The 12,301-nt window shown below is 37.5% G+C and overlaps 1 protein-coding gene across 2 annotated transcripts in view; it reads left to right on the forward strand.

Moving 5' to 3' along the window:
- The window catches only part of GRIA3 (glutamate ionotropic receptor AMPA type subunit 3), a 306,638-nt gene that overhangs the window by 208,110 nt on the left and 86,227 nt on the right, over positions 1–12,301 (forward strand). For both annotated transcript variants that reach the window (NM_000828.5, NM_007325.5), the window contains exons 6-9: positions 2,581–2,742; positions 6,249–6,416; positions 10,607–10,711; positions 11,025–11,132. In NM_000828.5, coding sequence (NP_000819.4) covers positions 2,581–2,742; positions 6,249–6,416; positions 10,607–10,711; positions 11,025–11,132 — 543 coding nt within the window. The remainder of the gene's footprint in view (positions 1–2,580; positions 2,743–6,248; positions 6,417–10,606; positions 10,712–11,024; positions 11,133–12,301) is intronic.

The following is a 12,301-nucleotide window of genomic DNA, read 5'->3' on the forward strand; positions in this document are numbered from 1 at the left end:
AGGATGTAGTCTGATGGGGGCTGGGCTCTCAAAATGGCACCCTGCTGTGGCTGCTTAGGACTCTGGGGTATGCAGGAACCACTCAAGCTCCCTCTCTAGAGAAATGCCATTATACAATCTCTAGGCAACTCCTTCAAAGCCCATGTGGGTTGAGGGCTCTCCCAGGGCTAGGATTGCAGGAGTCCACATTGAGAATATGGACTGCTAGGGGTCTCTCACTTGTCCTTTACCCATGCTGGGGCACCTCTTCAGGCTTCCAGATGATCCCAGCCAAGCAGGCTACCTTACTTCTTTCTCATTCCTTGAGTCAGATGTTTCCTGTCACTTCTCTATTGAATTCCAGCATTCTCTCTTAGGAAATATATTCAAAGTGTGATTATCTACTCACTATTTTATTTCTTCTTTGTATGGGAGGTGAGTTCTGGATGCCTCTATTCAGCCATCTTGAGGCCCCTTTCATTGGAGTTTTATCCTCAGCATTTTATTTGAATATAAGTTTAAGGAGTGAGAATGGAGAGTTGGGTAACAGTTAGGCTTAAACCCCAATGGTAGCCTCTGCTAGACTTTCTACACAAGTGAGGCTCTCTGCTGAATTTATTACAGGGGGAATAAAATGGGAGAAAACACTGAGTCTTATTTTCCCTCATGAAGAAAGCCTTTGGGAGAAAACTCATCATGATGAATTAATGTTAATTTTTAAAATACTTTGTGGTTATCAGAATGAAGGAGTGATTCCCAGTGATGTAAACTATTTGACTCTTTGTCCAGTCTCATTGACTCATACCCCACTTATGAAAAGAAGAGGAAGGGGCTGTAAGTAATAACTGAAAAAGCTGTTTCACTAAAATGTTTTCTAAGACTGTCTTGTTATCCATGGTAAAGAAATGTAAAATTAAGAGAAGCACGGATGGAGGTGCTGACTCTACAGATATTGTTTATGTTTAGTTTGTGAATAAATTCACCAAGCTATACACGTAAAGATATGTGCACTTCTCTATACAATTATTACACTTCAATAAAACCTTTTTTAGACTGTTAAAAAAGAGAGGAAACATTAAAGAATGGATATGGATTTGGGTAATAAAGGTGTATGCATTTATCAAAACTCATCAAGTACATTTCATTGATGTAAATTTTACCTCAAAAAATGAAGAAAGAAAAAGAACTGTAAACAAACACTGAATTTTAGTTAATGACCTGCATGCTGAAATCTTTAAGGGTGAAGTATACTAATGTCTCCAACTTACTTTGAAATGAACCCCAAAGTGAAATGGTTTGATAGATGAGTAGAAAAATAATTGTAGAATCTGAGTGTGACTATGTGGGTATTCACTGTATAATTCTTTCTATTTTTCTGTATGTTTGATCATTTTTATATTAAAATGTTGGAGGGTTCTAAAGAAGGGAGGAAGAATTCTACCCATCTGTTTATGAATAGAAATGATGGCTTCAGCTCATTGAAGACCCTAACACATTAATAGTAATTAGCAGGATATAGTTATCCAGCAAAAGTAGCAGCAATTCCTAGGCTGCTACTTGTCCCAGAAGATAATAATGCCCAATGGAGCTGGCAGAGCTCACATGGAGATACTCCTTTCACAAGGCTTAGGTGGCAGAAGCACCAGATGGTAGCCACAGCAAATTAGAAGAAAGTGGTGGATACTATGTAGTAGTTGTTAAGATTCATTTATTGTCTGGGTGCAGTGGCTCATGCCTGTAATCCCAGCACTTTGGGAGGCCGAGGCAGGCAGATCACTTGAGGTCAGGAGTTCGAGACCAGCCAGGCCAACATGGTGAAACCCCATCTCTACCAAAAATACAAAACTTGGGAGGGCATGGTGGCATGCGCCTGTAATCCCAGCTACTTGGGAGGCTGAGGCACGAGAATCGCTTGAACCCGGGGGGTGGTGTGGAGGTTGCAGTGAGCCGAGATCACACCACTGCACTCCAGCCTGGGCGACACAGCGAGACTCTGCACTCCAGCCTGGGTAACAGAGCGAGATTCTATCTCAAAAAAAAAAGAAAGATTCATTTATGGATACATGTCAGATACCCTGGGATTTGTACCATCATATACAACCAAGCTGTCAGTTTCACTCATTGGCATTTCTGTAAATCACAAATTTCTAAAGTACTCATCACTAGAATCTGAAGCAATCCACTGTGTTTATCATGTTAGGCTGAAGAAAAGTTTGCTATAACACCCATCGGGTCAAACTTTTTCAACATTTTCCAATTACATAAAGCATTGTATTTGTACGCAATGAAGAAAGACTAAAAATACAGGTAAATGAAACAAATCAAAATATTTGCTTAAAGTTGGCACCTATGTTTGTCCATGTGGCAGCCACATTACATAAAGACACATGAACTAAAATGGAAGAATGCATATTTTCTCCATTATGCCTGCAGTTTCAGGGACATAGTGCCCTAACAATTAATTTCATATTCAAGGCTGTCTTGATTGCTAATAAATGATCCTAGGGAAGGAGCTTTCACATTATCCTTAGCACTCTAACAGATATGGTGAGTAAGAACATACAACTTCCCACAATCATGATCCTTTCAATGTCTTTCCAGGGTTTTACTGATATTTTACTGGAAAGAGTCATGCATGGGGGAGCCAACATTACAGGTTTCCAGATTGTCAACAATGAAAACCCTATGGTTCAGCAGTTCATACAGCGCTGGGTGAGGCTGGATGAAAGGGAATTCCCTGAAGCCAAGAATGCACCACTAAAGGTAATGTTCCATGGCATGTAAAAAACCTAAGGCCAGCTTTTCAAAGTATCTCAGTATGATCTTTATACACTAACAGTCATCTTATGATCAAGTGATTTTCCTCAGAAGTGATTCAAAGATGCCACAAAACAACTGCAGGTGATGCTATTGCATTTGAAAACTAAACCCCTGAATAAAGAAGCTGTTGAGAATGAGATCTTTTAAAATCCAGTGCTTGGAAATAAGTTAACTTAATTTTTAATGAATTTTATTTGTAATATGCCTATAACAATTTACAGTATTACAAGAACCTGAGCCAGGCAAAGGGTGGGGGCAGTGGGAACAGGTAAGGAAGACTGATAGTCTGAAACAGAAAATTAGATTTTACATTATTTATGTGATTGCTTTGTTTTAATAAGTTCCATGAATCTCAGTACACCCAAGTGAATTAGGGTCTAATAAAGAGTGTACATTGCCTATATGTATATTGAATGGAAATGTTTTCCTGCCTGCTAAAGTATCTTAGAAAATAATTAAATTACCTAGATTGCTCATTTTCACAAAATCAAGATAAGAATATTAAAAGCAGAAAGTCATGGTTAAAAATGCACATTTTTCATGTGTTCCCCTATGGCTAGAAATCCTATTATTTAAAAACCAGGAATTAAACAGATAAATTAGGGGAAAGTTATTCATGCTACACAAAGGACCCTTCAAATATATTTTTAAGTAAATCGTTCCCTCAGTGCATTGATTCAAATATGAAACTGACTTTAAATTCTTCCTGATATAGTGAAAGTATGTACCATAGCTGTGGTACGAAATAGGGGATCAAAATAGAGTCAAGACCCTTTCCTAGAAAAGGAAAAGGGGAAAAGATCTTCCTCATTGTTTCAAGATACTCATCCTCACATCCTTCCTCCCTGGCAAGAATAGAATAGGGGATAACAGGCCGGGCATGGTAGCATGCGCCTGTAATCCCAGACACTTGGGTGGCGGAGGCAGGAGAATGGCTTGAACCCGTGCAGCAGAGGTTGCAGTGAGCCGAGATCATGCCACTGCACTCCAGCCTGGGCTGGACTCCATCTCAAAATAATAATAATAATAATAATAATAATAATAATAATGATGATAAGGGAGAACAGTAGGCAACACAGACCAGAAAAAAGATATAGAGATACATTCTGTACCATCTATGCAGCTCCACCTTAAATGGGTTACGTCAGAACATAATACAAGTGAAATCTTACTTTATGCAATTGGTGTGTTCTAGAAAAGTTATGGGTTAAACATACTTTTTTCGTTCAGTTAAGCCACTTACTAGTTAAATGGTACCCTGTGGTTGTAGCGATTATGCCTGCCAGATTTTTCCAAGATAGTCTTATTTTAAAACATTCTGTTTTAGGGTCCGATCAAGTGTCCTAATTTGCTTTAGTAAATATGGTCACAATCCCTATGATGAATCCTTTGTAATCAAAAAAATTTTTAATGTACTAAACTGATATTTACTGGAAAATAATCCCAAGTGAATTAGGCTCTAATACAGAGTGTATGTTGCCTACACATATATTGAATGGAAATGTTTTCCTGCTTGCTAAAGTATTTTTGAAAATAATTAGATTACCTAAGTTGCCCATTTTCATAGAAATCAAGATAAAAATATCAAAAGCATAAAGTCATGGTTCAAATGCATATTGCATTACATTTAGGTGAGCTTATTCAAATTTAGATTTTTCATAAAACTGCCTACCCACACTGCTTTATGATCTTTAGATTTACCAGGTAATAGGTAGAAGAGAGAAATTCATTTATTCAATATTTTAGTGGGTTAGTAGTCTGGCACCTACAATGTGCCAGACACTGTGTTAGGCATGAGAAAATGAGTAATGGTAAGAAGTATGAAAAGGGTACTGAAGAGTAGTTTATGCCTGTGCTGAAGTTGCAGAGCCATACAAAAGAGAAGGAAGCCAATCTCAGCTCTGGACTATTCATTGATAACACTTGGTGTGTATAATGTAAAGTTCTAGAACCCACTGAGAAGAAATGTTCATGCTTATAAGTAAAACCCTTTAAATAACTTTAAAAAATTGAATATTTGAATAGATGTTACAACTTACAGATTACTTTTGCTTAGTATTGGTCATTATAGAACCTTGCACAATATCAATCAAACCAAAAGCCCACTTTAAAAATTGATGTATAATATTTTTGATTAGGAAATAAAATTGTCTACAGATTAAAAATCCTGATAATTTACTCTATAAACATTTTCTTTTAGGGCTTGGGAGGGTATTCTCACCCATTGGTAAGTAGAAACTGAATAAAGCAAAAATTAAATAGCTCCTTTGGCATGGTTTGGAAAGGACTACATTAAGATTGCTGACAATTTATGCAGTCAGCTGAAAAAATCATCACCATGTTGGCTTCATGTATTGCAAAGATGTGCAGACACAAAGATTTTTCTTCATGAAAGAACATATGTCCCCTGTTACAGTCACACTTGATGATTTGCTTCTGAAAGACAAGTAACGTGAGAAAAGTCAGAAAAGCTAATTGATAGTTGTAGAGGCAATAATCTATTCACTCCCAATTGTATTTGGACATACTGTACTAGAGAGAGAGAACTCCCCCTGGGACATTTTGCTACATTTTTAAAAAGTCAACAACATTCTACATTCTACCAGTATTTGTCACCCCTGCAAAACAGGGGCCAGCTTATTTTAACCATAGTTTGTTATGTTAATTCATTTAATGAAAAAGCATCCACCATTTCAAATTGCAGATAATCAAATCCCTTGTATTTAGTGACTGACCTCATCCCTAGTAGAGCATATCAATATATCCAAGGAATAGAAAGTGTTCTTGCCTGCAAGAGGTGGCATCATGAAGTATTGCCTATGAATTGTCAACATCATCAGATTTAAAACTCAATAATAATTGAAATTTTCTACAATTGAAAAACAGCTTTGGTTTTTGCTACCCCCAGGAAACAAAAACTCATTTATTGCTGGCCAGAAGTCCCACCTCGCCAGAAACATGGTCCAGACAGAAATGATTAATGTTCTCCTCCAAATTAATTTCAAGCTGTCTAACTTAGCTATTTCCATTTTCCCCTAAGTAAACACCAGATCTCTACAAACAGCAGTAACCCAGTCTTGCTTTAGGATGTGCTGTTTCCTCTCCAGTCTATACATGCCATCCTTTAACTTCACACATATTTCTTCCTCTATAAAGGACACAGCCTTTTGGTAGTCACTAACTCAGTATAAAAAAGAAACAGTATTGAGAGCAAGAGAGAGATTGCCTTGAGCCATTTGATTGTAATAATTGTAACACATGCACACATGAGGTAAGAACTATCACTGTAGAATGAATCGAATTCAGGCTTGCCCAGAGAGATCTCTTAAATAAATAGGGGGGTGACTGCATAGAACAATAGGTAGAAATGAATGAAAATTATAAGAAACAAGGCAAATTTTGAGGGTATCATTTATCATGATATCTTGTTTTTCATGCATCCATTTCAGTATACATCTGCATTGACACACGACGCAATACTGGTCATAGCAGAAGCTTTCCGCTACCTGAGGAGGCAGCGAGTAGATGTGTCCCGGAGAGGAAGTGCTGGAGACTGCTTAGCAAATCCTGCTGTGCCCTGGAGTCAAGGAATTGATATTGAGAGAGCTCTGAAAATGGTAAAGACCACAATGGGTTATTGGGGTGGAAGAAACTTATAAAGACATAAAAAAGATGAGACCTTGATCTTGAGAGAAGACATACTAAAAGGAATAGGACCAGATTATGTAGAATCTCAGAGTATGCAAAGAGGATAAGTATAGCCATTTCTATAAATCATCCAAACCTAGAAATCTAAAAGTTGGAGGTCATTTCTTGAAGCTTGAAAAAAAAAGAGATAAATTTAGGGCAAATGAATTTTTGGTTATGCACTATACTATGGCTAGTAAATGAAACTTAGTACTCTCAAAAGTTACAGATTGAATATATAAATAGCTTCAAAAAATTCAAAGCTTTCAAACATATGACATTCTTTAGGGAGATTAGAATATTTTATAAGATGTTCCTAACTTCAAGATAGACATTACAAAGGACAGCATCCTCTGGCTCATCAGACAAATGATTAGCCTAGACAGGCTGTGGAACTTAGCCAGTGTGATAGTATTTCTGTTGTCAAAAAGAACACTCATGCTATTCTACAGGATGAAATGCAGGAACATGATACATTTCTAGGTCTACTTAAGAAGCTTTTGCCTAATGCTGCAAAGAAAAAGCCTAAAGAAAAGTAAAAGGAATCAATGGATAGACAGTCAAATAGGTCACTTGTTTTTAGTATTTGCTGGGTAGGAGATCATTTAAGGCTTCAAGCAATGTCCTTTGAACAGATTTCATTATTTATACCAGAAGTAGCATCACCCATTCATTGCAGTTTTCCAAGCAAGAGCTCTGTCCTGAATATTTTGCTTTATGCTACATGTGCCTGCATGTATTAAAATGAGCTTTCAAGAGTACAAGAATCTCTTATTTCTACTTATTTAGTTATCCTGATGTTTGGGACATCCAAATCAACAAAGAGATGGGCAAAGATAAGATAATTCTGTGTGCAACCCAGCAAGGAAGAACTTGTAACGGCCTCATAACATACATCATTTTGTGTAGCTGGCTCTCTTATTGATGCCTTAAATTTGCCAAGTTGGAAGCATTCAATCAAAAGGGGTTAGTAGCCCTTGTGTCTCTCTTCAAGAAAGAGATATGACTCATTTTCCCATCATGCAGATTTTTATGTCATTATGTCAGTTCCTTAACAAATGCCCTAAGTGTAGTTTTATGGAGGTAGCACTGTACAATTTTGAAGAGCAGTTAATTAAATTCAACCTTCATAGCAGTTACAAGATTTGTATTGTCAGGTGAAACATAATGATGAGTGAAATATAAAACTCCCTCAGAGTGAATCAAAAGGAGTTTCCATCAACAAAACCTCAAGGGGCAAGAGCCAGCATCTCCAATTGACTCCCTATTCATGACACAAATAACTACCTTCCCAAATAGAAAACTGGCTATCAGAATGAAGGATAAGATACCAATTGGGCTAGGAAAAAAAAATAGATTGATCATACTACTGCACAGAAAAGTTTCTGCATGTCTACCTCACTGATAAAGCTCAAGTTATAAGCCAGGTAACCTTCCTCCCCAGGCCCTAATGACCAGACACTCAACCAAAACAATACATTACCTTTCTATAGGACAATCTCTATTGCTCCAGAGAGGCTGGAAGGCATCTATTTTTTCCAAAAGTAGACAGTGCCTCAGTAAAACTGCTCTACTCAGAGGGACTGTAAGGGAGGCTAGTCTGAAGTACTAAATGTTTTACTACATTAAAAGAAATCCCATTTTATTTGAATTAATTAAAATTGAGACTGCATAATGTAAAGCATCCCTCATTGTGACTAGCACATAGTTGTTTCTCAATAAATTATTCTCTTCCTTCAAAAGAAATCTGGCAAACAAAATCATTGCCTGGCAGAGGCTCCTAAGGGGCCTGTTTTAATGAATAAATAAGCACAACATTCATTCAGTAAATATTTATTGAGCACCCATGACTATGTATCAGGCTCCATATTAGTATGCAAGCAAGAAATAAGATGAGGAGTGCACACATTTAAATTGTTAATATGTAAACAAATGCTTTAAAATATCTTAAAGCCACTTGCAAATTGGGTAATCATTCTCCTCACAATCTGCAAATAATGCAAAGATCAGCCCAGCACAGTCTACTGACATATCTGTCACAGATTCTAAGTCTTTGAGACTTGTTCAATCAACATTTATTAAGGATCTGCTCTATCCCAGGCACAACATTAGTTGCTGAGAACAGAGGTAAAAAAATGTCTCTCATCTCGAGATGCTCCTAATCCAGTAGGAAAGTTAGAAACACATAGATTATAAAAATGTTATGTCTAAGTCTTGCACAGGATGCTATGAATTAAAGAAGGGATCCCAGACGGGATGCGGGGAAACTGTCACTAACATTCAATACTGGACCACATCCTTAAAAATAGATTTCTCTGAGTGGTAGTCCAATTCTACTTCTGGTCACCAAACGTTCAAATCATGCGTCTGGAATCTGTTGGACTATGCCTTGACTATTCTCCAGTTCATATATCATATTCAGATAGGTTGGGTCTTTAGAAATAGACAACTCTTAATGAGACTTAAAGCCCTAGCTATTTTCACTAATGAAGGCTTTCCTTAATAAGTTCCTATTGCCCTTGTCTCTGCCCTGTCTAACTCTTCTATCAGAATTCAGTGCTCAAAATAGAGTATAAAGAGCCCTTCATGCTCACATTATGTATCAGTCTCATCCCACTGGATAAGTAATTTCTATCTCAACAAAGGTCTTTTCTCTAACTAGAAGTGTGATGCCACCTTCTCTGCAAGCCTAAGCTAACAATAGTGCTTAGGTTTGTTGGATCAGTTGGACAATCATCTTGTTTTCAGTTCATCAGATTGGAGCATTTTCCTTTCAACAGGAATTCCACAGTCTCCTACTGGTGGTGAACAAGCCCCTTTCCCTTTAAAAAATGTTCCCTAATATTTGACAACATTTTTCTTTCTGCAACACAAACCCACTGCCACCTCTGACTTGTTTGACAGCTTGTCATTTTCCATAAGTGATGAAAAACAATTCCATTCTTTCATACTAGGAAAATGAGATATATTCTTTCTCTTTGAAGCAAAGTCTTTGACCTTTACTTGCCAGATGAGTAATGCAAGTGGTTAGCAACAATTATTTATATTTGTAGAGGGTATTTCATCCAGTGTCCCTGCACTGTAAAATAGGTAAAGAATCTATCTACCCTGAAGAGATGGCCTCTTGCTAATTCATAATACTGAGCCCAGGCCCAGGAAAAATTGTTCCATACATGAAATCGGCATTTGGCATCCCAAACAAGTGTTCTGGCTTCCAGTACTTCTACATTTCTTGTCTAGTGCTCCATACTCCTGACCCCTTAGGCTTAATAAATTTCATCAGTCTTTGGATTATCCCTCTATGGCTTAGCTCTCTTGTCTGTTACCTGTCTGTAGCTGAGTGTGGGTTAAATAAGAGGGAAAGCTCATCCCTGTCACTGTAGTAGCTGGCAAATGTGTAACCCTCTCAAGAAACAGAACTAAATCCATTTTGGTTAATAATAATTAATATAGCTAGCATGTATTCTGATGCTTAATAGATGCCACATACTGTTCTAAACATTACGTTTATATGTGTGTGTGTATATATATATATATATATATCTTCTCTAATCTTCCCAATAACTCTGAAAGATAGATACTACTAGGATTTTCAATCTTACAGATTAAGACACTGGGGTAAAAAAGCATTAAGAACATGCCGAAGGTCATTCAATTAATAATTGAAGCTACGATATGAGTCCAGGTGTAACAGTGCCCATGCTGCTGAAACCAGATTATGTTCAGATATGGGAAATATTAAGATAAGACACAGCCATGGCCCCCAAGGAACTCAGTTTAGAATACATTACCCTAGTTAAGGGGGTAGCCTGCAGAGTATTTTTAGGAAGGGGCTAGTGGAAATTTCAGGTCCTTGAAAAAGTGGCGGTAGAGCCCTCATTATATTATATAAGTAACAGCATCTTACACCTACTCAATGCTTCAAAACTAAAAGGCATGCCAAGAAAATACTGTGGAGGAAATGAAGATCTTGTATAGACTCGATCTGGTGGATAGAGCTCAATGACTTGCAATAATAATTCTTCAAGATTCCAAGATCTGTCAGCAGACCTCATCCCAGAGACTTAGAAGGCAATAATGCCGTGCTATTTTTAAATTTTAAATTTTCCCTTTCTACCAGGTGCAAGTACAAGGAATGACTGGAAATATTCAATTTGACACTTATGGACGTAGGACAAATTATACCATCGATGTGTATGAAATGAAAGTCAGTGGCTCTCGAAAAGTAAGTAACCAAAACAGACATTTAAAGAAAAGGACTCTTGAAAGAGGACAGCATTTGGATGTAAGAAAATAAGTATTATTATTTTACAAAATATCAGTAAGGATGAGTGGGAGATGGGAACCTCCAGGATGAAGGAATAGCACACCTATGTGTCAGTGTTGGGGGTCCTGGTGGGAATTACAAGACCCGGGGAGACAGGATGTCAATCCTTATAGAGCTCAAGAAAGTTTTGTTCCACAACAGCACTTCAATTTCATGCAGTACTTTTCTGAGGGAAAAATAGGCATCCAGGTCAAATGTCTTCTCTTTCTAGGCTGGCTACTGGAATGAGTATGAAAGGTTTGTGCCTTTCTCAGATCAGCAAATCAGCAATGACAGTGCATCCTCAGAGAATCGGACCATAGTAGTGACTACCATTCTGGTAAGTGTGAACAGAAGGTAGGTGGGCTTTCTGTCCAGCAAGACTTCCGTTTTCTGAAAAGTATTTTTCCACCAGTAGAAAAGACCTCAAGTTCAAACAGTAAAAACTTCCAACAGGGAAGCTCAGGAAACTCTCAAAGTATCTTGCCATGATGATGAACAGAATGTCATTTAACAAAAAGAGAGAAAGAAAAAGAATAGGAATTTAGAACAGTTTTAGATTATCATTTTCCTCTTTCTCCCCGCCTCCATGCCCGCCCGCATAGGACTGATGCTTCATCTGGACTTGAAACCTAATTCTTCATTGTGGGGGAAGCAGCATTGTGTGGAGGAGAGAGTACATTAGGATTCTAAAATTAGGTCTACCACTAACCTGTAAAACTGTGCAAGTCACAACTTCTCTGAGCCTCAGGTTGTTGTTTCTTCATTTATGAAAGGGGTATAATAATAATCACCTACCCATGTCATAAGCCCGTTTCAAGGCACAGTTCACTACACGAAGAAGTTTTCTGCAAAACTCAAAGCACTTAAAATGTGAGATGGTATTCTCATTTAGTTTTAAAACACTTTTCTAGAAGCTGGTTTGTTTTTACTGAATGAAGTACAAACCTGGGTTAAAAACAAATACATCTCTAGGTGTGAAAGTATGACTAACTGAATGGAGACTAGGCTGAAGTTTGCCTTTCATCTAAGCATACATATCAAATACTCCCTTTGTCTTAAGTACTATACTAGGCCCTGGAGATATAAAAATGTAAATGCCACGGACGCTGACCTCACAGGGATCACAATGCTTCCCCAGGGCTTTGCCTCAACTACCTGCAATTCCTACATAATAAATCTTGAGAAATGAAAGGCACTTCACCATCATGTAACTAAGTCTGCCAAATTTGATGAAATCAAAGACTTGATAGGTGAAAACTGGGCCATCTTTCAAACTCTCAAAAAGAACTGAAATCCTTCTCTGCTTCCTTAAATTACCAGTTAAGGACTCCCCCTACCAAAAAAAAAAAAAAAAAAGTGACCCAATGAATACTCAATTAAAGCTCTTCTGTTTACTAAGTAACAATTTAAAGGCCTTTTTCACATACCAAACCTCAATAGTCACAGAGGGGAAAAATTATTGCATTTATCTTCTCTTAGAAAAATGTATAGGAGTAATCCTTTTAT

Source organism: Homo sapiens, chromosome X (genome assembly GCF_000001405.40).
Source record: "Homo sapiens chromosome X, GRCh38.p14 Primary Assembly".
NCBI lineage: Eukaryota > Metazoa > Chordata > Mammalia > Primates > Hominidae > Homo > Homo sapiens.